Here is a 25,245-nt window from a genome sequence, read left to right as displayed (position 1 = left end):
TCCTGTGCACACCTGTATGGAGGGTGCTTGGCCCTTCACTGTGCAACAGAGCGCCCAGCCACAGAACACCCAGCCACAGAACACATGGCCACAGAACACGCAGCCACAGAACACCCAGCCACAGAACACATGGCCACAGAGCACGCAGCCACAGAACATCCAGCCACGGGGCTATGCCTCAAACTGAGGCAGTGTCTTGACAGACAGCTGGAAGACACGGCCCTGGCATGCATGTGTTCGCTACAACCATGCCCAGTGGCAAATTCACAGATGGCTCAGATCCGGATGCCTCGGTTGTGTGCTGCCCAGGATGGGACATCGGCAGAAACCGCAGTTCCGGTTCTCTTAACTAGATTTTGTTGTCGTTTTAAGAGTCAGATATGGGAGTGGTGGACAGATAACACGGAAGAGAGCAGGGTGTGGGGCCTGGGCCGTGTGTGTGGGAGCCCGTGAGCTCTGGTGGAGGGAACAGGATGGTTTGGGTACATTAGTGATGATCGCAGCGAATGTGGGCCAGCTACCTAGTGGGATATCCGGACGTTGGGAGAATGTTGTGGCCTCAGGAAGATGTGGGAGTCGTTACTGTGGAGGGAGCTCCTGGACATAGATGGAGTTGCTGAGGCGGAGGCAGCATGAGGCTGTGTGATGGCTGAGAAGGGGCTGCTGGGGACCTCAGTTTTCGATGTGGGGAGGGAAGAGGAGCCGGCAACAGAGGCGGAGGGAAGCCAGGAGGGGACATGTGATGGAGGCGGAACAGGTACCTCGGATTTGATGAGGCCAGAGGCGATGCTGAGGTGGGGAAGGATTAAGGCGGTTTATGGGACCAGGGGTGGTGCTGAGGTAGGGAAGGATCAAGGCGGGACAGGGACCCTGGCACCAGCGCCCTTTCAGAGCGTGCTGGGCTGATGGATGTGATAAAGCTTCAAGCAAACCTCAGGTCTGGCAGGAGGTGGCTGGAGGACTCACTCATGCATGCAACCTGGAGGCACTTGGACAGGGAAAGGGGTGCCGGCCTTGGCTGCCTCCTCCCCCAGGGACTGAGTCTGGGGAGTCAGCTGAGTTTTAGTGGTGTAGTTATGTAGGATGTTAGTTACGCTGCAACAGGCCTGTTCCTTCTTCAGGTGTAGAAGGAGGAACCAGGCTCCAAATATGGCCTGCATGCAGCAGCACTGGCAGCGGCGGAACATGCTGGAAAGGTGTGACTCCAGTCCCACCCATGGCCCACAGAACGGGAATCCACTAAGTAGGATATGTGTTACTCATGTAACTTTAAAACCACCGTAGGGACCACAGGAGCTCTGCCAAGTGAGCCAGTGATGCCCTGGAATTCGGTGACCCTGGGACTCCCTTGTCACTGGCGCCCTTACGAGGTATGATGCATTTCCAAATAGAGAAATTATACAAAGAGAAGCAACATAAAAAGTGTTTCACTAAGCAATTCATAGAGGACTGTTTATTACGGTGTCTCTTTTAAAATAAATATTATGATTTTGTTCTTTACCAGAACAAATACCTTCTAAATATTTGCCCAAATAGTACTTTTCTGTCTCCCAGGCTTGGGAACGTTGAGCGCAGAGACATAGCCATGCTGCGTGGAGGACGGTGCCTGTCGCTTGGCCCCCTCCTCATCCCAAGGCCCTGGGGACATAGGCCATTTAGAACCACAGTGTCACATAATTGCAGAGTGGGAATGATGGGGGGGAAGACAAAGTTTGGAAAGGAAAAAAGGTAGGCAGGAGGAAGTAGCCCTGGGGCCATGGTTCACAGAAAGGCGAGTCCTGCCAGCCCCGCAGTGCCTTAATTATGGATGTGTCCTCACAGCTCCGCCTCAGCCACCGAGGCCGCCCACCTCATCTTCACCCTCACAGCTCAGCCTCAGCCACAGCCACCGAGGCCGCCCACCTCGTCTTCACCCTCACAGCTCAGCCTCAGCCACCGAGGCCGCCCACCTCATCTTCACCCTCACAGCTCAGCCTCAGCCACCGAGGTCGCCCACCTCGTCTTCACCCTCACAGCTCCGCCTCAGCCACCGAGGCCGCCCACCTCGTCTTCACCCTCACAGCTCCGCCTCAGCCACCGAGGCCGCCCACCTCGTCTTCACCCTCACAGCTCCGCCTCAGCCACCGAGGCGGCCCACCTCGGTCTTCACCCTCAGAGCTCTGCCCGAGGCACCAGGGCCGCCCACCTCGTCTTCACCCTCAGAGCTCCACCTCAGCCACGGAGGCCGCCCACCTCGTCTTCACCCTCACACGCCGCTACAGTCACAGCCACCGAGGCCGCCCACCTCGTCTTCACCCTCACACGTCCGCCTCAGCCACCGAAGCCGCCCACCTCGTCTTCACCCTCACAGCTCCGCCTCAGTCACCGAGGCCGCCCACCTCGTCTTCACCCTCACAGCTCCGCCTCAGCCACCGAGGCCGCCCACCTCGTCTTCACCCTCACAGCTCCGCCTCAGCCACCGAGGCCGCCCACCTCGTCTTCACCCTCACAGCTCCGCTACAGTCACAGCCACCGAGGCCGCCCACCTCGTCTTCACGGCAGCCCAGTGCAGCACGGCTCCTTCTCTGCGGCCCTTGGTGCCTCTCCCATTCGCATCCTGCATCCTTACAGCAAGGCTTGTCCTGGCAGCTGGTGTCATCTGCACACCCCCTGCTCCCACCTTCTGCTGAAGCCTTGACCTTTCCAAGTGTGGCCCAGGGACCCTCAGCCTCAGCATTGCCCGTTCAGAATGCAGAGTGCCAGGCCCACCCTGGAGCTCAGGAACGGGGTCTGGGTGCAGACAGGACTCAGTGGCTGTGGTGCCTGGAAGCCAGCAGCTTGGCTGTGAGAGCCTCTGACATCCCAGGTCCATGCCCGCTGGTGCCGTCCCGTCCCACTGCTCTTCCCAAAACGCTGAGCTCTACTCCCAGCTCTGTCAAACTCGAGTCCCCCTGGAAGCTCCAGCCCCAAGACAACTCTGAGAGAATTCCTGCAGCTGCCTGGGCTGGACTAAGCATGCCTGCCCATGCCCCAGTGACCCTTCACTCTTTAGTCCATCATGGCCCGACCCTGTCTCAGAACAATTACCCCGGAATCACCAGGGTGAGGACTTCATTGGTACGTGTAAAAACCTCCCTGGCAATAGGAGGCTCAGCTGGGCTGAGAACTGTGCTGTGTGGTCAGCGTGATCATATAAGTGACTTTCCCCATCAGGGGAAGATGAGAGGAAAGAGAACAGGAATTAATAATCATTAGGCCGGGATGACAGGCACGAGGCATTCCCAGAGCTGCTCTGGGGGGCCGGGATGTGCCGTCCCTGACCCGTGCTGAGCCTCCCCATCACAGCCTACAGCTCTCAGAACATGCGTCAGCTTTTAAACCAGACTTTGCGTGACCTAAGGACACAGACTTTGCTTCCTTGAAGGCCCAGCAGCGGCTGCATGTTTGACCCACTGTAGAGACATCTGAAATGTGACATGCTATTATGGGTCAGGATCAACATTAGAATCCAGGCTTTCTCCAAATCTTTCCATGGCCGGATCAGGGCAATGATTGATGTCATGCATTGATTTTTGCACGCAGTGAGGGGAACGGGAATGCAGAACAAAAATGTTGGGTCTCCAAGTGAAAAAAGTACATTTAAAAACAATAGCAAAGAACTATCAAAGTCTTCAAGATAGTTGCTCAGAAGTATTAAATTTATTTAGCCGTATTATTTTGTGGGTGATAGTGTTTGTTTGAGTACATAAGCAAGTGGACCTAATAGACATCTACAGAACTCTCCACCCCAAATCAACAGAATATACATTTTTTTCAGCACCACACCACACCTATTCCAAAATTGACCACATAGTTGGAAGTAAAGCTCTCCTCAGCAAATGTAAAAGAACAGAAATTATAACAAACTGTCTCTCAGACCACAGTGCAATCAAACTGGAAGTCAGGACTAAGAAACTCACTCAAAACCACTCAACTACATGGAAACTGAACCACCTGCTCCTGAATGACTACTAGGTACATAATAAAATGAAGGCAGAAATAAAGATGTTCTTTGAAACCAACGAGAACAAAGACACAACATACCAGAATCTCTGGGACACATTCAAAGCAGTGTGTAGAGGGAAATTTACCGCACTAAATGCCCACAAAAGAAAGCAGGAAAGATCCAAAATCAACACCCTAATGTCACAATTAAAACAACTAGAAAAGCAAGAGCGAACACATTCAAAAGCTAGCAGAAGGCAAGAAATAACTAAAATCAGAGCAGAACTGAAGGAAATAGAGACACAAAAAACCCTTCAAAAAATTAATGAATCCAGGAGCTGGTTTTTTGAAAAGATCAACAAAATAGATAGACTGCTAGCAAGACTAATAAAGAAGAAAAGAGAGAAGAATCAAATAGATGCAATAAAAAAAGATAAAGGGGATATCACCACCGATCCCACAGAAATACAAACTACCATCAGAGAATACTACAAACACCTCTACGTATATAAACTAGAAAATCTAGAAGAAATGGATAAATTCCTCAACACATACACTGTCCCAAGACTAAACCAGGAAGAAGTTGACTCTCTGAATAGACCAGTAACAGGCTCTGAAATTGTGGCAATAATCAATAGCTTACCAACCAAAAAAAGTCCAGGACCAAATGGATTCACAGCCGAATTCTACCAGAGGCACAAGGAGAAGCTGGTAACATTCCTTCTGAAACTATTCCAATCAATAGAAAAAGATGGAATCCTCACAAACTCATTTTATGAGGCCAGCATCATTCTGATACCAAAGCCGGGCAGAGACACAACCGAAAAAGAGAATTTTACACCAATATCCTTGATGAGCATTGATGCAAAAATCCTCAATAAAATACTGGCAAACCGAATCCAGCAGCACATCAAAAAGCTTATCCACCATGATCAAGTGGGCTTCATCCCTGGGATGCAAGGATGGTTCAACATATGCAAATCAATAAATGTAATCCAGCATATAAACAGAACCAAAGACAAAAACCACATGATTATCTCAATAGATGCAGAAAAGGCCTTTGACAAAATTCAACAACCTTCATGCTAAAAACTCTCAATAAATTAGATGGGATGTATCCCAAAATAATAAGAGCTATCTATGACAAACCCACAGGCAATATTATACTGAATGGGCAAAAACTGGAAACATTCTCTTTGAAAACTGGCACAAGACAGGGATGCCCTCTCTCACCACTCCTATTCAACCTAGTGCTGGAAGTTCTGGCCAGGGCAATTAGGCAGGAGAAGGAAATAAAGGGTATTCAATTAGGAAAAGAGGAAGTCAAATTGTCCCTCTTTGCAGACGACATCATTGTATATCTAGAAAACCCCATTGTCTCAGCCCAAAATCTCCTTAAGCTGATAAGCAACTTCAGCAAAGTCTCAGGATACAAAATCAATGTACAAAAATCACAAGCATTCTTATACACCAATAACAGGCAAACAGAGAGCCAAATCATGAGTGAACTCCCATTCATAATTGCTTCAAAGAGAATAAAATACCTAGGAATCCAACTTACAAGGGATGTGAATGACCTCTTTAATGAGAACTAAAAACCACTGCTCAATGAAATAAAAGAGGATACAAAGAAATGAAACAACATTCCATGATCATTGGTAGGAAGAATCAATATTGTGAAAATGGCCATACTGCCCAAGGTAATTTATACATTCAATGCCATCCCCATCAAGCTACCAATGACTTTCTTCACAGAATTGGAAAAAACTACTTTAAAGTTCATATGGAACCAAAAAAGAGCCCGCATCGCCAAGTCAATCCTAAGCCAAAAGAACAAAGCTGGAGGCATCACACTACCTGACTTCAAACTATACTACAAGGCAACAGTAACCAAAACAGCATGGTACTGGTACCAAAACAGAGCTATAGATCAATGGAACAGAACAGAGCCCTCAGAAATAATGCCACATATCTACAACCATCTGATCTTTGACAAACCTGACAAAAATAAGCAATGGGGAAAGGATTCCCTATTTAATAAATGGTGCTGGGAAAACTGGCTAGCCATATGTAGAAAGCTGAAACTGGATCCCTTCCTTACACCTTATACAAAAATTAATTCAAGATCGATTAAAGACTTACATGTTAGACCTAAAACCATAAAAACCCTAGAAGAAAACCTAGGCAATACCATTCAGGACATAGGCATGGGCAAGGACTTCATGTCTAAAACACCAAAAGCAATGGCAACAAAAGCCAAAATTGACAAATGGGATCTAATTAAACTCAAGAGCTTCTGCACAGCAAAAGAAACTACCATCAGAGTGAACAGGCAACCTACAAAATGGGAGAAAATTTTTGCAACCTACTCATCTGACAAAGGGCTAATATCCAGAATCTACAATGAACTCAAACAAATTTACAAGAAAAAAAGCAAACGACCCCATCAAAAAGTTGGTGAATGATATGAACAGACACTTCTCAAAAGAAGACATTTATGCAGCCAAAAACCACATGAAAATATGCTCATCATCACTGGCCATCAGAGAAATGCAAATCAAAACCACAGTGAGATACCATCTCACACCAGTTAGAATGGCAATCATTAAAAAGTCAGGAAACAACAGGTGCTGGAGAGGATGTGGAGAAATAGGAACACTTTTACACTGTTAGTGGGACTGTAAATTAGTTCAACCATTGTGGAAGTCAGTGTGGCAATTCCTCAGGGATCTAGAACTAGAAATACCATTTGACCCAGCCATCCCATTACTGGGTATATACCCAAGGGATTATAAATCATGCTGCTATAAAGACACGTGCACGCGTGTGTTTATTGCGGCACTATTCACAATAGCAAAGACTTGGAACCAACCCAAATGTCCAACAACGATAGACTGGATTAAGAAAATGTGGCACATATACACCATGGAATACTATGCAGCCATAAAAAATGAAGAGTTCATGTCCTTTGTAGGGACATGGATGAAACTGGAAACCACCATTCTCAGCAAATTATTGCAAGGACAAAAAACCAAACACTGCATGTTCTCACTCATAGGTGGGAATTGAACAAATTAGAAGACTTGGACACAGAAAGGGGAACATCACACTCTGGGGACTGTTGTGGGGTGGGGGGAGGGGGGAGGGATAGCATTAGGAGATATACCTAATGCTAAATGACGAGTTAATGGGTGCAGCACACCAGCATGGCACATGTATACATGTATAACAAACCTGCACATTGTACACATGTACCCTAAAACTTAGAGTATAATAATAATTAAAAAAAAAAAAAAAGAATGATCTGGCTGGGCGCGGTGGCTCATGCCTGTAATCCCAGCACTTTGGGAGGCCGAGGTGGGTGGATCACAAGGTCAAGAGATCAAGATCATCCTGGCTAACACGGTGAAACCCTGTCTCTACTAAAAATACAAAAATTAGCTGGGCATGGGGCACACGCCTATAATCCCAGCTACTCGGGAGGCAGTAGAATTGCCTGAATTGGAAGACGGTGGTTGCAGTCAGCCGAGGTCACGCCACTGCACTCCAGCCTGAGTGACAAGAGTGAAACTACGTCTCAAAAAAAAAAAAAAAAAAAAAAAAAGAATGACCTGGCTCAAAGCATGATCATGAAATGCCTACTATGCCTACTACAGGAGTAAGCAGGGGAGAAAGGGGACTGCAGATGGTGACACTGAGTCAAAATCATGGGACCATCAACCTGGAAATGGGGAAAGAAGACCCTGAAGGAGGGATGATGGAGAAGGAGGTGGAGGGAGGGTTCTCGGAATCACGGAGCATTGTCAATGTGCTCTTTGAAGGATCAGGCACACTGTCTCTTTCTCTCTTAAAAAATTCCATAAGAAATGCAAAGACCCACCATGCAAATGAAGGCAGATGAAAGACATCAAACAAAACAAGGTTAGGGAAGGCCTTAAATATGGAAATATTGTAGACACTGACCTCCAGAAATGAAGAAAGCCACAATGTCCCTTTTCAGTAGCAATTTGAGTATTTGGTAGTGTTGTTAACAGTTAAAAACTCTAATACCGTGTAAGTGCCCATTAATATGGAGTTGGTTAAGCAAATTATATTTCAGCCATAGTATTGAAGACGATGATATTGAGACGGGTGCAGTGACTCATGCCTATAATCCCAGAGCTGTGGGAGGCCAAGGCAACAGGATCGCTTGAGGCCAGGAGTTCAAGGCTGTAGTGAGCTATGATCGCGCCACTGCACTCCAGCCTGGGCAACGGAGAGAGACAAAAAGCACTGGAGCTTAAGGTAGAGGGAGGTGTAGGGAGAGCATGGTTTTTTTCCTCCATCCACATATTCAGCATGAGTACAATGATCATGAACACTGGAAAACTCATAATTGGCATGCTTCTGACAGTCCTAGAAAGCTTAAGTCACAGCTCTGTCTTGTTATAGAGCTAAAGTTATTGCTTTTAATCAATGAAGGCTTTTGTTTTTTATCAGTACCACTTCCAAGTCACTCACCCTGAACATTTTAGCCATGAGACATGGTTTGGCTGTGTCCCTGCCCAAATCTCATCTTGAATTGTAATAATCCCCACGTGTCAAGGGTGGGGCCAGGTGGAGATAATTGAATCACGAGGGCAGTTTCCCCCATACTCTTCTCATGGTAGTAAGTCTCACTAGATTTGATGATTTTATAAAGGGCAGTTCCCCTGCACAAGCCGTCTTCTCTGCCACCATGTAAGATGTGACTTTGCTGCTCATTCACCTTCTGCCATGATCGTGAGGCCTCCCCAGCCGTGTGGAACTGTGAGTCCATTAAACCTCTTTCCTCTATAAATTACCCAGTCTCAGGTTTGTCTTTATTAGCAGGGTGAGAACAGACGAATACACCACGCCACCCCTCTCTTGCAGGAGAAGACTGAGGGATGTGAGAATATATTCATGAAGCATTAAGTGAAACTGGCAGAAATAAACCCATGTACAGCCGCTAGAGGGAAGGCTGGAAGTATTAACATCCAAATGTTACCCGCGATTATCTCTGGGCAGTGGAGGGAAGGCTGGAAGTATTAACATCCAAATGTTACCCGCGATTATCTCTGGGCAGTGGAGGGAAGGCTGGAAGTATTAACATCCAAATGTTACCTGCGATTATCTGTGGGCAGTGGAGGGAAGGCTGGGCGCTGGGATTATATGTCAATATCTTTTCATGTTGATCTATGTTTTCTAAGTTTTTCTGTAATGATTATGACTTTCATAACATAAAACTTTTCATGTTTTTTTAACTACATACTTTCCATGTATTTGCAGTATTAAAATGATAATGTAACTAAGGGTTGTCTAACAAAGAGAAATGCACTAAATGTTAAAAGAATGATAAAGTTAATTTTAAAATCTTAACTACAAGAGCTTCCATAAGTACGTAAGCAAATAAGTTTTGCTTGCTTTCAGAACTCGTGTTTACGGTAAAAGATGTAAGCAAATTTATGTCATACAAATAGCTAGACTCAGGATCCTGTGGTTTACAGGACAATCCCAGTGGCTAAACCCACAGCAGCCTAGAGGGTCTATGCCTGGATCCGTCTCCCCCAGTGGCTGAACCCCCAGCAGCCTGGTGGGTCTATGCCCGGATCCGTCTCCTCCAGTGGCTGAACCCACAGCAGCCTGGCGGGTCTATGCCCGGATCCGTCTCCTCCAGTGGATGAACCCACAGCAGCCTGGCGGGTCTATGCCCGGATCCGTCTCCTCCAGTGGCTGAACCCACATCAGCCTGGCGGGTCTATGCCCCGATCCGTCTCCCCCAGTGGCTGAACCCACAGCAGCCTGGCGGGTCTACGCCCGGATCCGTCTCCCCCAGTGGCTGAACCCACAGCAGCCTGGCGGGTCTATGCCCGGATCCGTCTCCCCCAGTGGCTGAACCCCCAGCAGCCTGGCGGGTCTATGCCCGGATCCGTCTCCTCCAGTGGCTGAACCCACAGCAGCCTGGCGGGTCTATGCCCGGATCCGTCTCCTCCAGTGGCTGAACCCACAGCAGCTTGGCGGGTCTATGCCTGGATCCATCTCCCCCAGTGGCTGAACCCATCAGCAGCCTGGCAGGTCTATGACTGGATCCATCTCCTTCTCCAGTGGCTGAACCCACAGCAGCCTGGCGGGTCTATGCCTGGGTCCGTCTCCCCCGGTGGCTGAACCCATCAGCAGCCTGGCAGGTCTATGCCTGGATCCATCTCCTCCTCCAGTGGCTGAACCCACAGCAGCCCAGAGGGTCTATGCCTGGATCTGTCTCCTAGCCAGGTCAGAGGAGACACATGCTCACTCTGTTGCTCCTGAGTTTAGTAAGGTGCCCTCTGGGTCTGTGTGCACAGTTCCCCTTAGAAACTGGTCACGCTCTTCCTGTGTTAGTTTGCTGAGGATCATGGTTTCCAGCTCCATCCCTGTCCCTGCAAAATACATGATCTTGTCCCTTTTCATGGCCGCATAGTATTCCATAGTGTATATGGACCACATTGATAGGTGCAGCAACCCTGTGGAGCATGTTTACCTACGTAACAAACCTGCATGTCCTGCACATCCCAGAACTTTAAATTAAATTAAATTAAATAAAAAAAAAAAAACTGGTCAAGCTGTTGAAAGCCCACTCTCACAAGCTGAGAGGGCAAATTTCACATCCAACAGTGATGCTAAATATGAGTTTTACTTTTTTTTTTTTTTTTTTTGAGATGGAGTCTATGTTGCCCAGGCTGGAGTGCAGTGGTGTGATCTCGGCTCACTGCAACCTCCGCCTCCTGGGCTCAAGCGATTCTCCTGCCTCAGCCTCCTGAGTAGCTGGGACCACAGGTGCCCACCAACACGCCTGGCTAATTTTTGTACTTTTAGTAGAGACGGGGTTTCACCATGTTTGCCAGGATGGTCTTGATCTCTTGACCTTGTGATCTGCCCACCTCGGCCTCCCAAAGTGCTGTGATTACAGGAGTGAGCCACCATGCCCGGCCAAGTTCTACTTTAAATGGGGCCTTAGGTTGATCGCTCTCAGAAACAGTGAACAATTAACAAAAGTAGGGGCGTGAAGACATTTCTATTATTTAAGAAGCACAGACATAAGTAACGTAATTTTATGCAATTTTAAAATACAACGATAAGCAGTATATACATAATTAAATCTGCCAGAATTTATGAAAACTCAGGATGCATTTTAATGAAAAGATTAACACTGAATAAATATTGCACATCAATTATATTAATACATCTCTTTGTTTAGATAATACTTCCTCAAAACTGCATTTCTTGGAGCTTTTTATTCTGGGATTATGTTTCGAACATAGACTTTTCCCTTCAGCATCTTTTCTGCCTTGAAAACACAACCACAAATGTTTCATTTTTCTATGTATGCCCCTACCATTTGGCTGGAAAACCCGTGCTGGGAGGGTTTCATGTAGACTTACGTGCTTTTGCATTAAATTTGTTTTTATAAAAGATATTTCAGAAGACAGTCCTCCAAACTTGGCATGAAAGTAGCAGTTTAGGATGTCCTAAAACAGCCCTGGGCACTCCAGAGAGTTCCGTGGTTGCTGGAATATAAAAAGAGCCATTTGTCCTCATAAGCTGGGCAGTGCCCAGCCTCATCTGCAGGTTCATCTGCCACGAGCGCTTGCCTCCACCAATGTCGGGGTTGCTTCTCTGTAAAGAGACACCAAGGGCCCTTCAGGACCCAGAGGGCGGCTCACCCGACAATCCACGCTCAGCCGGTCACTAGTTCAGCAGGATTTTTATTCAGGAGAGCCCATGAGTCTTCTAAAATTTCTGCCGTTTTCCCCCTTTAGTCTTAGATTTGTGTCATAGCAAATGTGCATTGTGTAACATTTGCACGGCTAACAGATTCCACTCAGACTCTCTGGGTTTTCTCTCTGCTGGCTCAAGAGCTTCTAGTGTTTCTCTGCATTCGGGCAGGGTGGGCCGTGCACTCGCAGCGGAGTGCCTGTGTGCCATCCAGCTGGTTTTACACCTGTATATTTACATTCACTTTTGAAACGTAACGCAAAATTCAATGTATAAAATATTGACTCCATTTCCCACGTGAGTCCATTTTAATGTTAAATTCAATAAACTGTAACACCCTGAATTTAAAAGTATGCTAAAGGAGAACTTGAACTCAAAATAGATACCCGATTTATACCACAATTTAGGGCTATGTCTGTTTTATATTTGGTGGAAGTTGTATCAGGGTCTTTTCTCCCCTTACTTTAACAGACTTCCTTTTTTTCTTCTTAAAATGAAGAGGAGTAAAATCTCACATTTCTGCTTTCTAGAATAATGGGACCTGAGAGGTAGCTGAGCTCAGAGGTTGAGAAGAGTCTTTAAACCACATCTGTATCTTTACATCCTCACTCTATCACTTACTAGAGTGTGGCTCTGGTGACTTGCACATCATAGGTGCTCAAATATCAAAATATACTGTGACCTTAATAAAAACTCCGTTCACTGTCATTGTCTAGGGATGAGGACATTCAGCCCATCAACAGTCTCATGTCTCTTCACACAAGAGGCCTCCAGAGCAAGCACCTCACTATGCAACATCTCTGCCCTCAAATGCCAGGCCCTGTGTGCACACGTGGCTCATCGGAAGCAGTCTGGGGGATGGTGGGGAGAGGGTGGGCACATGTGGCTCATCCAAAGCAGCCTAGGGGATGGCGGGAAGAAGGTGAGCAGGAGACATACTGCTCACGTTGCCGTTTCAGTTTCGAGACCCTGTCTCTCTGCGCACTCCGTCCTTCTGCCTGCAACGTTCTATTTGTCTAGAAAAAAAGGAAGGAAAGTGACTGGAGACCGTGTTGCCGTGGGACTGAGCGAGGCCCACGTTAGGATCTCAGCTCAGCAACATAGCCACTGTGGGCCTCTGATGACAGGGCTGAGCCCTGGAGCCCTGGTCAGCAAGGCTGGGCAGCAGGTCCTGCTGCGTGGGCTCCCGTGAGGAACTAGAGAGGACACGCAGAGGCTCCGGAGGGCACAGGGTACACGGCAGGACCGTGGCAATGACTGTGCTGTCATTATCCACCTCTAGCTCCCACAGACAGCGCGAAGCTTCCTCCTAAAACCCCCACAGCCTCTGTCCCTCCTTCCCTTCCCTCTTCCATCAGAACCCGGCTGCCACGTGCTGTTCAGTCCTGGCGCCGGTGACCATGCTCCTGCCTCTGGAGGGGAGGGGCTGGGCGGACTATGCTTTTCATTCATTCTCTTAAATTCTCAGCACTTAACGCTCCACGTGGCTCCATAAATCATTAGGGAGGATAAAGTCACCACTTTCTCAGCCCAGCATGTGCGTTCTCTCCTCTCCCATTTACACTCGTCTGACTCTACACTGAAGCTTTGTTTCTTCATAAGCTTCATAAAACATAAGCTTTGTTTCTTCATAAGAAGCTATTATAAAGTGGCCAATCTTATTTTAACAAAATGTTCCTATTTTCATGCTTCACAATTGTGAACGTGCTTTTTTCTAGTAAAAAAAATGAAGGAGAAGGTGAATATTACGATATTGGTATTACAGCCCATTCCACTTCCAACCAGATTCTGCTCAGGAAACATTTGTGGATGGCAGTTTCCATAGCAACCAGCAACATATCTTTAGAGCCTGCTGCCGCCTCCATTCTAAGAATTTCGTTGTTATCACAGTCTGTGCATGCGGAAGTGATTTTCTGATGAAGTGTGTATTGTGATAGATCAAATCCTGCCCTTGGAGGAGAAAACTCTGGCGAGTGTTGCCCGGCTTTTTCTCCATGTATAAAATAGTTCTCGGTTCTTTCCTCACTGCTAGTTTCACTAAAATATTTTCGATATCAGCCATTCTTTTGAAAAGAAAAAAATTACTTAGTCAAAAGCTAGTGGTGAGTCACCACTTACATACGTATGGTGGTTTTTTTTTAAAAAGCCACAGCTCTTTGGGCCTTGTTACTGTTAAGTTAAATTAGCAATTTTATTCTTTGGAAAAACTCCCTTAGCAACGCACTAAAATGGCCTCCTAAGCAGCGAATCTGATGAGATTTAAGACCAAAACGCTAACTGTAACTGGTCTTCTGGTTTTAATTCTCAGTAATGGAAAGACCCCTTACCCTTCCTCATATCCATGACATGGTTGGGGGAGGAAACTGGGATGGGGAAAGACTTCAAAGTCTGAGACACACTCTATTTAAAATGCATTTTAAAAGAACCAGGTGGCTAGCGCTGGTTGCCCCTCGTAACCACACCCACACGATGGGAGCACTTCCTCCGGCACTTCCTGAGACAGGAGTACTGACTTCTGGGGACCAGCAGGTGTTTCTGAAGTGAAAACAGCCCACAACTCGAGAAATCCTCTATACCAAATTTTAACTTAGGCCTCTTTTCCTACTTTGGTTTTTATTTTATTCATTTTATTTTTTTGAGATGGAGTTTTGCTCTTGTCGCCCAGGCTGGAGTGCAGTGGTGCAATCTCGGTTCACTGCAACCTCCATCTCCAGGGTTCAAGCAATTCTCCTGTCTCAGCCTCCCGAGTAGCTGGGATTACAGGCACATGACATCACGCCCGGCTAATTTTTTTTTTTTTTTTTTTTTTTGTATTTTTAGTAGAGACGGGGTTTCACAATGTTGGTCAGGCTAGTCTCGAACTCCTGACCTCAAATGATCCACCTGCCTTCGCCTCCCAAAGTGCTGGGATTACAGGCATGAGCCACCGGCCGGTGATATTTATTTTTAATGTATAAACTGATGCATATTTACAGAAAAAAAGCTGATGGAGGGGAAATAACTTTTCCTCACACAATTAGGAATCACAAAAGGAATTAATTCACCACTCAGATAGCGTTCTGTGTACTCTGATCCATCCATCCACGTGAACTAAGGTGTTCCAGGAGGTTAGGTCGATGTCAGAACCTGCTCAGAAATTTGGTAAAATAGCGCTTCACCGAAAACATCGTCTTACGCTACAAACCAGTGGGGTTCTACGTTCCATCATTACAAGTAATAAGTACAGTCATGTGCCACTTAATGAGGGGGCACATTCAGAGAAACGTAAGGTGGCCTCGTGGTTGTGTGAGCATTGTGGAGCGCACTGATACAAACCCGCATGGCTTCGCGCCTGCATGCCTGGGCTGAACGGAGACCCGGATGGCGTCACCCTTACGCGCCTGGGCTGAACGCAGACCCGGATGGCGTCACCCTTACGCGCCTGGGCTGAACGCAGACCCGGATGGCGTCACCCTTACGCGCCTGCGCTGAACGCAGACCCGGATGGCGTCACCCTTACGCGCCTGGGCTGAACGGAGACCCGGATGGCGTCACCCCTACGCGCCTGGGCTGAACGCAGACCCGGATGGCGTCACCCTTACGCGCCTGGGCTGAACGCAGACCCGGATGGCGTCGCCCCTACACGCCTGGGCCGAACGGCATAGGCCTCCTGCTCCCAGGCTGCACCTGCACAGCGTGTGACTGCACTGAAGACTGTAGAAAACTGTAACACAGGGGTAAGAAGTTGTGTATCTCAACATGTCTCCACATAGAAAAGCTACAGTAAAAATATGGTACAAAAGGTTAAAAATGGTACGTCTGCAGAGGACACTCACCATGAATGGAACTTGCAGAACCCGAAGCTGCTCTGGGTGACCGGGTGAGTGGGTGGGTGAATGGGTAAGTGGGTGAGTGAATGGGTGAGTGGGGAGTGAATGCGCGGCCCGAGACATCACTGTATGCTACTGTAGACTCTACACACACTGCAAACTTGGGCTACATTCAATTTTCAAAAAATACTTTTCATTCCTCAATAATAAGTTAACCTTAGCATACTGTGATGGTTAATATGGAGTGTCAACCTGATTGGATTGAAGGATGCAAAGTATTGTCCTGGGTTGTCTGTGAGGGTGTTTCCAAAGGAGATTAACACTGGAGTCAGTGGGCTGGGAGAGGCAGACCCACCCTCAGTCTGGGTGGGCACCATCTATTCGGCTGCCAGCACGGCTAGGATAAAAGCAGGCAGAGGAAGGTGGAAGGACTGGACTGGCTGAGTCTTCCAGCCTCCATGTTTCTCCCATGCTGGATGCCTCCTGCCCTTGAACATCAGACTCCAAGTTCTTCAGCTTTTGGACTCTTGGACTCACACCAGTGGTTTGCCCGGGGCTCTCAGGCCTTTGGCCACAGACTGAAGGCTGCACTGCCGGCTTCCCTGCTTTTGAGGTTTTGGGCCTCGGACTGGCTTCCTGGTTCCTCAGCTTGCAGACGGCTTGTGGTGGGAGTTCACCTTGTGGTTGTGAGTCAATTCTCCTCAATAAACTCCCTTTCATATATACACCTATCCTATTAGTCCTGTCCCTCTAGAGAACCCAGACTCATACACACACTGTAACTCTTGTACTTTATTTTATTTTTAAAACTGTTTGACTCTCTTGTAAGGCTGAGCTTAAAACACAAATGCATTGTACAGCTGTACAAATATTTTTCTTTATATTCTTATTCTATAACCCTTTTACTATTTTTAATCTTTAATTTTTAAATTTACTTTTTAAACTCTCTTGTTAAGCACTAAGACCCAAAAACACATCAGCCTCTACCTGCGCAGGGTCAGGACTGTCGATATCACCATCTTCCAGCTTCACTTCCTGTCCCACTGTTAGGACTTAAGGGGCAGTGGCGGTGACAGACGTGGAGCTGCCATCGCCTACGACCACAGTGCCTTCTTCCGGACACCTCCTGAAGGACTGGCCCAGGGCTCTTTACAGATAATGGTTTTCCACAAGCAGAAGGAGCGCACTCTAAAATAATAATGAAACGTACAGTATCCCAGATGCATAAACCAGCAACATGGTCGTCTGTCAGCACCATCACAAGATGCACTGCGCATCCCTCTACGGCTACACTTCCGTACGGTGGCTGCACAGGGGGTTTCTCTACCAGGGTAAGTCACACGTGAGTCATGCATTGTGACGGCTATGAGGTCACTGGACAGTAGGAGTCTTCCAGCTGATGATAATCTTACAGGGCCACCGCTGCACCTGCAGTTTGTCTTTGACTGAAACACCCGTGTGCGGTGCGTGATGTAGTCAAAGCGCCGGTGTGGGAGGTTATAAAGCCCTTGCCTGCTTCCGATGGATGGCACTTAACTCACATTTATTCTTACAAAAAGGCTTTGTTGCCCTCATTCCACTACCACCCCAAAATCTACAAAAGCTGCTCAAGTCACACAGCTAATGTGGAAGATCTGGGGCTTAAACCCAAATATCCCCAAACTGTGCTTGTTCACAAAATACAAGAGGACACAGTAGGCCCGAGTAGGTTGGAAGGGCCCTGGGTCCCTAAGCTTCCAGGAGCAATAAGGACGGCGGAGCCAAAGTGACCATTGAAATGTTGGCAAAGCTCAAGTTTTAGGAAGAATAACACAGAGTACTGAATGTTGTACATCTGGATCCACAAGATCAAGAGTCCAGGGCCAGAGGCATGTGACATGCAGACCAGGCACGCCCATTCCTGCATCAAAGCCCAGTGATAAGAAGGATGATGATACCATGGAGGAGGGAGGGGAGGAAGGATGAAGGGAGGAGGAAGGAACGATAATGCATGTTACTCATGTTCACGGAGCATTTTCTGTTTCTCAAAATGCCAATGACGGCCGGGCACAGTGGCTCAAGCCTGTAATCCCAGCACTTTGGAAGACAAAGGCTGGAAGATTGCCTGAGTCTGGAGTTCGAGATCAGCCAGGGCAACATAGTGACACCCCATCTCTACTAAAACACAAAAATTAGCCTGGTGTGGTGGCGCACGCCTGTAGTCCCAGCTACTCGGGAACTTGAAGTGGGAGGATTGCTTGAGCCCAGGAGGTTGAGCCTGCAGTGAGCCAAGATTGTACCACTGCCCTCCAGGCTGGGAAACAGAGTGAGACACTGTCTCAAAAAAAAAACCCAAAACCCAAAATGCTGACACTCCCGGGAGGTAGCTCAGTGACCCAGTGGTGGGTGTGGCAGGATGCTAAGGGCTCTCTCTTACACAGGAGATGGGCCAGGCAGGTGGAGTGCTTGCTGTCTGCACGTGAGGCTACTTCCCACATGGCTCTTCCACCTGGTGTCTCCTGTCAGCCTCCTGGGTCACTCAAGGACCCCATCTCTGCAGACTCAGATAATCTGCAGGAAAACGGAACGAGATTTCCTCAGGGCCAGTCTGAGAATCCACATTTACCAAGATGAAACCCACCCAGAAAGAGAGAGCGGCTGAGCTGCTGACGGTCATATTAATCCTCCAATGCGAAACCCTCAGCCCTGCGGCCACGTCTCCATGCTCCACCTGCAAAGCAGCCACGCCCATAGCACAGAGCCTCATTCAGCGCCATTTCTGGGACTTCGCAAAAACACTTTCTTGCAGGGCATGGAGAGGCTTAGTGAGATGCCCAAGTCCCTTCTTTCTCTCCAATAACATTTACATAAAGAATCTTGGCTTGTGGTTTGCAAAGAGGTGTTATTCTCGGTTTCTGAGAGTGTAAGGACCCCAGGGACCATGGACAGCACTGGATTCCATGTGCATCATGGAGAAATTTAGAACAAATAAGCAGAGGTTTATACCATTTAATAAAAATTTGGATTCCTACAAATATGACCTGCTCAGCTGTCAACACAATATCTGAACTCTCCTAGCAAAAAAAAAAAAAAAAAAGCCAGTTTTGCCTCATCTGTGTATTTATCTTCAGTGTCTAGCAAAACTCCAGGCACCTAACCAGTGTTCAGTGGTTTGCCAAATGTGTGTTTGTGGATACAGAAAAAATTCCAAGTCGGTCAGCTGCGTTGGCTGCCCAGTGTCCGACTGTGCACCTTATTGATTAGGACTATTCTTCAAATGTGTCATCCAGCTCGAGGACCTACTCGGGTGGGCTCACCAGACAGCACCATCTGTACACTTGCACACCACAGCAGCCTCACGGGCTCAGCAGCAAGCACCTTTGCAAAAAGACCTTTCTAAACCACGTGGTTCGGGTGCTTGGGCCTGGCCACCGCAGCGGGTGCCTGGCAGGACCAACCCCTCCTGTTTGTGCTACACGTAGGCCATGCACTCCTAGGACTGGATGCCCCTGACGGCCACAGCTGGACCAGTACAGGGGTTGTTTCGGAACATGTAGAGCAGAGAGCTGGATGGGTTCTGTTGCCAGAGGCACAGGAAGCATCTTCAGTGACTTATTTTCAAGGTAAGCTCCTTCAAGAGTTCATGGAACCCAAGTCCCGCACGTTCCTGGAGGGGCTTTGGGCTCATGGCGGGGGCTTCCTCCCCTGCTGACTCCCACCCACACACTGGGGACGTGTGGCTCGGCAAGGGAGTCCCAAAGCCTATGTTAAGTGCCCTGGGACTAAAACTTGGCAGAATCATGAGGAGAGCAGACTGTGGGGGTCACCTCCATGGAGGTCCAGCCGCCTGTGAGTCCTGGAGCAGTCAGCAGCACAGCGGGCCCTGGGTCTTCCATGCAACTCCGCGCCTCGATGCTCGCCATTCCCAGGGTCTCTGGTCTCTGGGGACGCCCCCAGCTCGGCCAGTCTGTGTCAGGACCCAAGTCACCGGGGTCCAGTGTGTCTGGACCAGGCGACTCCCGCTGAACCTGGTTTAATCCAAACACGCGATCGCGGGAATCACCCGTAACCTGCATGCTGGCAGGTCATGGAGGTCCCCAGAGGCCCTGGCATCTCACCAGCCAAATTCACAGCATGCCGACATGACAGACACAGAAGAGAACAGCTCAGGGCCAGTGCCTTCAATATGAAAATGTCAAATGTGTTTTTACAATTAACTTAAAAGGCCTTGACTTTCTAGAACTACAACTACAAAAGACAAAGTTTCATAAATTCCACACCCTGGACTCCCTCGCCCATCTCTTTTGTCTCCTCTCCCCAGTCAACAATTTCAGTGGCAATTTCAAGACAATATGCCCCATGAATCTTTATGGGAAAATGACAAATAAACATTTAGACAGGACTGTGGCTTCCTTGGTTGGGCTAATCCCCAGATTCTAACTTCTTTCAGTTAAGTGGATGTTTCATCCCCTCTACCATTATTTTTTTAAGGTGCATAGAATTTCTTGAATATAAAAGCAGTTTCTCAGATTAAATTTGGCAGCTGCTTTTGTAGAGGAAGCAAAGCCAATCAATAAAGAATTTTTAAATGCTGCAATCTTCATCTTAGCCACTGGCTTTTACAGCAATGAAATATGGGGCAAAAAAGCAGAAAGAGAAACACTTGTTTCCTTATGAGTATGTGAAGTGGAACTAGCCCCGAATGATCAAACGCCAGAGTTCAGCCCCGATGGATGGCAGCCTGTAGCAGTGCTGGCTGGCATGGGGTGCTGGGTGCCGGCAGGGTTCAGCCCCGATGGATGGCAGCCGTAGCGGTGCTGGCTGGCATGGGGTGCTGGGTGCCGGCAGGATTCAGCCCCGATGGATGGCAGCCGTAGCGGTGCTGGCTGGCATGGGGTGCTGGGTGCCGGCAGGGTTCAGCCCTGATGGATGGCAGCCGTAGCGGTGCTGGCTGGCATGGGGTGCTGGGTGCCGGCAGGGTTCTCAGGGCTTGGTGGCCATCGACACGGAGGCATCAGAAGAGTCCCTGTCATGCACGCATCAGTGTCTTCATTTTACAAATGAAAACACCAAACTAAAGAAAAGGAAGGCTGAGTAAGCTGCCCAATAGCCCAGGAGAGTAAGCCCGGGAGCCAGTGCCTCCACTCCGCAGTCGGACTGAAAGCTACACTGGAAGGACAAGCCCCGGTCTCATCACCACGCCAGCGAGCCTGTGATAGGTCAGCTGACTCTTTATACAGGTGGATGTGGCCAGTGCTGCCTTTGGCCTGGGAACTCGTGCATGAACGGCTGCTGAGCGCCAGGCAGCTGGCTGCCTCTTCCTTTCTCCTTTCTCTTCTTCTTTCTGCTGCTGTTTCTATGCATTGTCCTTTGCCCACGGGTAGAGTCTACCTGGTCAGCCAACGGAACTGAGCTTGACACAGTGCTGACGCCCAGTAGGTTGTCAGCATGGATCAGACGTGCAGTCAAGGAGCACAATGAATGAACAGATGAATAAAGCCCCTACTCTATTACTAAACATTAAATTTAGTGAGTTTTAGTCTTTAAAAACATTACAAAACATTGAATCGGGACTTACACATAATGATTCTAATGATGTGTCAGATTGACAGAAAATGTAACTTTTGCTAACGGCCTGTAACAGGCATGAAAGACATTTCAGCTCACTGACTTGTATTTGAATCGCATGTGTTTCTGTTCTCTGTACACTGGGTTGTAACAATTGAAATAATAGTAGTAGCCTTTGCTTCCCATTTTACAGTTTGCAGGCACATTTTTGTTTCTATGTCCAAATATTTGCTTTGTTCCTTTCCGTAAGAGGGGCATGAGTGCTAGCCTCATCTTGTAAATAGGAGACTTGAAGTAAAAGAGAAGGTAATGACTTGCCCAGAACCCCAGAGACAGTCAACAGCCGAGTCAGAATAGGAAACCAGATCTTTTCATTATTCATTCATTATTGCCAATGCCTGATATCAAAGACGCTGCCGTGCCATTCCTGATTTAATGTGTCAGACGTGTCAGGGTCGTCCTTTAAAGACTAACAAAGGATGTTTCAATAACTGTTCATCTTATTTTTGGATCTGCAGGTTGAAGATATTTCTGAGTGGAAGAAAACTGTGATAGAAAAGAATACTTAAAATGATTAATTTTTCTTCAAGAAAGTATGAAAGGCAGGTCACAAACTCCTCTCAATCTCATAGAAGAGCAGTCATAGGCAACTGTGTGAGATCCATGGTCTGATCTTCATTTTAAATACAAAACCTCTGAGGCCCAGAAGCAATGGGGTTTGTCTGAGTCACCTTAGCTACAAGGCCTGTAGACCTAGGCTTTGCAAACATCAGTCTTTCCAGGCTTCTTCTGCTAGAAGACCAGCTTAAAGTCCTTTGCCTAATGTGATTTGATCAAACCGACCTTGAAGAAACATCAGCATGACTTCCTTGTATTTGAGAAAACAGCCACACATTCGCAATGCAACGTAAATGTGGCTAAGTTCCTCTATAAAGCAATGAAGCCACTAAAGATTTAATCTGTACTATTATTTTCTTCTTATTTTTAGCAAGGAGGATTTCGAATGCTTATGTAGAATCTAAATTAAAATCTAACCAAAGGAATCACAGATCATTGGTGACATATAGGGATTAAAGTATTTTTGCAGAGAATGTCACCTTTAAAGTGAGTGCTGAAACCTCCTAAGGAGCCATAAAATTATCCTAAAAGGCAAAATGCTGCGGCAGTGGTTTATTTTACCACACAGTAACATAATTATTCTCACTAAAAATGAATTCTAAGTTCATATGTGTGTGTGTGTATATATATATATATATATATGTATATATATGCATCTCTCCCCTTCTGCTTTCATTCTGCAGGATGATATTTTCAGGTGCATATCTGAAAATTAAGCAGAAGGCCGTGTATGATGAAGGTAAAATGGGTTCTGAGCATCGGCTTGACTCCACAATGAATGGCCAGATCACCTTGGACAAATCAGATGAATACTGCTTATTTTTTTTAAGGACAGAAAAACCCTGCTTTTCTGCCTCAGTGTGAAGCATGCACTGAATATCCTCTATGTGTAAATGGAAAGCACTGGGATTGAAGCTGGGGAGTAGAGGTCTGCTTGGAGAGTTGTGCCATGTGCCTGCTGCAGGCTCATCCCTGCTGGTTTTAACTGTGCTGACACCGGGCAGTGGAACATATTTCTCCCCTCCTCTCAGTGGCTGTGGATGACTGTCTTTAGGATTAGTTCTTGTAAGTTGTTATTGTAAGAATGTTTCACAAAAGGGCAGTGTTCCATGTCCCTAAGTCATCTTCAGCTTACACACCATCAGCACGTTAACCCAGCCTTTTGTATCTCTTATGTCTCCTGTACTTTGTTTAGTATGGAAGCCACAGCAATGAACAAGACACAATCCTGGACCCCATGAGCTCACAGTGAGTGACAGCAGCCACTACAGTGTTAACGAAAGTTTAATTCGGAGGCCAATGGGCTGGGATGGCCCCAGCACTTTTAGTTCCTATGTAAGCAAACCAAACTCCCGTGTAAATGGTGAAATGAAACGAGAGCCCTTACCAATCAGAAACCACCAGCTGAACCCTAAGTAGGAATTCTACCATCCAGAAACTGCCAACTGACCTCTAAGTAGAGACTCCACCAATCAGAAACTATCAATTAACTCTAAGTAGGGATTTTTCAAACTAATCCAACATGTTTTGTTTTGTTTCCAGGAACAACTTATGAAATTTTCTGTCTCACCTCTGAAGCCCTAGAGAAGTGCTACACTGCTTGCAGTCTGGTGCTGCCCAATTTATGAACTGCTGTCTGTTCAAATAAACTCCACAGAATTTTAATGTGCCTAAGTTGATCTTTTAACAACAGAAATGCCCAAACCTCAGGAAAACAAGGATGGCTCACCCTAGATAGCCAAGCAGGGCATGAGACGACGTCCTGTGCATGGGAGTCACCTAGCTGGTGAGTGAGCAGCTGGATGTAGACCGTGCATGCCAGATTTTGTTTAAGGCTCTCCCATGTGGGTGTGCAGCACATGCACTGATATGAGCCACATGGCCTCTTCCTGCCTGCAAAGCTTCCACTTGACACATTTGCTGGCACTGAGCCATCCTTGCATTCCTGAGATAAACCTTACATGATTGAGAGCCATCACTGTGTTAAAAGTATGGGCACATGCATATTTATTAGGTATACATAGGCATACTTCTGTACCTGTAAATGTCTAATGTCTTATTTAATATTTTCCATCTGTTCCCAGCAGTCAATCTGACCTATAATTTTCTTTTCTTATTCTGTCCTTGGCCTGTTTTGTTACCAAGAATATATCATTCTCATGTTAGCCAAGTAGCTTTCCCCTCTTTTGTATTCCCTGGCACATACTCACTCACTCTTTCTCTCTCTCTCTCTCAAGGAAAGAGAGATCTAGTTATTTAAAATTATGGATTTATTTACTGGTAGTAAGTTTATTTGCATTCTCACTGAATTGTTCAATTTTATTTTTTAGACAAATTGTCCTTTTTATCTAGCTTTTTAAATTTTACATCATAAAATTGCTCATTGTGTTATATTTTTTCAAAAAATTATATTTCTAATAGGCTTTAAATTTTTTTTCTGATTTGGTGAGTTTTGATAGAGATTGTCTATTTTTAACTAACTAGCATTTTGTTTTCTATTTTGATTATTTTTTATTTTATATTTATCATTTTCTTTCTCTTATTTTATTTAGCGTACTCTGTTCTTTTTCTAGCTCATTTTGCTATGTAAGTCATTTATTTTTATTTTCCTTGTCATTTTCCAATAAATACATGTATGAACTTTTAAGGTTGCAATCTAAGTTGCATTTTAGCTGTCTTCCTACAAATACTGATATAAGTTCATTTTATATTAATTCCAAGTATTTTACAATATTCATTGCGGCACTGTTAAGTTATGAATTATGGAGAAGAGTACTGTATTGGTCAATTTTCATGCTGCTGATAAAGACATACCCAAGACTGGGCAATTTACAAAAGAAAGAGACTTATTGGACTTACGGTTCCATGTAGCTGGGGAGGCCTCACAATCATGGTGGGAGATGAAGGGCATGTCTCACATGGCAGCAGACAAGAGAAGAGAGCTTGTACAGGGAAACTCCCATTTTTAAAACCATCAGATCTCATGAGACTCATTCACTATCAAGACAACAGAGCAGGAAAGACCCACCCCCAAAATTCAATCACCTCCCAACATGCTCTTTCCATGACATGTGGGGATTGTGGGAGTTACAATTCAAGATGAGATTTGGGTAGGGACACAGCCAAACCATATCAAGTGCTTTCTGTTGACATTTGATTATTTTCAAGTATATGAGGATGTTTGTTTATATTATTTCTAACTCAACTGCATTACATTATGAGGGAGTAGCCACATCATATTTATTCTTTAAAATGTTTGTAATTGATTTTGTTACTCTTTGGGTTATGCTTAAAAAGAGTGTTTATTCTACACTTGGTAATACATATTTATCATATTACATTTGTCGTTGTGTTGTTCAAATCATCTATATCCTCACTAATTTGTCTGCTTGAGCAATTCCTTTTCTGAGAAAATATACTGAAATCTATAATTGTAGGTTTGTCAATTTCTCCTTTTTATTTTATGAAATTTAATGCTAGTTGTAAAAAGCTTATTAGTTCATACTTATTATGCTCCTGATTAATTGGATTTTTAACCTATGTAGTGTTTCTTATC

The 25,245-nt window shown here is 46.4% G+C and overlaps 1 protein-coding gene and 2 long non-coding RNA genes across 4 annotated transcripts in view, besides 1 other annotated feature; 1 reads left to right on the top strand and 2 right to left on the bottom strand.

The window, feature by feature from the left end:
- The window catches only part of DLGAP2 (DLG associated protein 2), a 970,849-nt gene that overhangs the window by 256,138 nt on the left and 689,466 nt on the right, over positions 1-25,245 (bottom strand). The gene's annotated exons all lie outside the window — the stretch shown is intronic.
- Positions 10,996-22,251, bottom strand: LOC105379586 (uncharacterized). The gene is made up of 2 exons (XR_001745758.2): positions 15,031-22,251; positions 10,996-12,731 (listed from the first exon to the last, which is right to left on the bottom strand). It is a non-coding gene; the product is annotated as an uncharacterized LOC105379586 (long non-coding RNA).
- Positions 14,682-15,196: an enhancer, noted in NCBI's record as "H3K27ac-H3K4me1 hESC enhancer chr8:1385309-1385823 (GRCh37/hg19 assembly coordinates)". NCBI's record gives its function as "activates a minimal SCP1, AML or CMV promoter by ChIP-STARR-seq in naive H9 embryonic stem cells {active_cell/tissue: H9 hESC(naive)}" and the evidence as "EXISTENCE:reporter gene assay evidence [ECO:0000049][PMID:30033119]".
- LOC105377775 (uncharacterized) lies at positions 15,343-23,354 on the top strand. 2 transcript variants are annotated; one of them, XR_941345.4, is made up of 3 exons: positions 15,343-15,431; positions 22,885-23,024; positions 23,232-23,354. It is a non-coding gene; the product is annotated as an uncharacterized LOC105377775 (long non-coding RNA). The 2 variants fall into 2 exon arrangements; XR_941346.3 differs by lacking the exon at positions 15,343-15,431 and adding an exon at positions 22,665-22,754.

This window comes from Homo sapiens, chromosome 8 (assembly GCF_000001405.40).
Source record: "Homo sapiens chromosome 8, GRCh38.p14 Primary Assembly".
NCBI lineage: Eukaryota > Metazoa > Chordata > Mammalia > Primates > Hominidae > Homo > Homo sapiens.
Note: the sequence above shows the minus strand (reverse complement) of the source record. Positions and strands in the feature narration are given on the sequence as shown.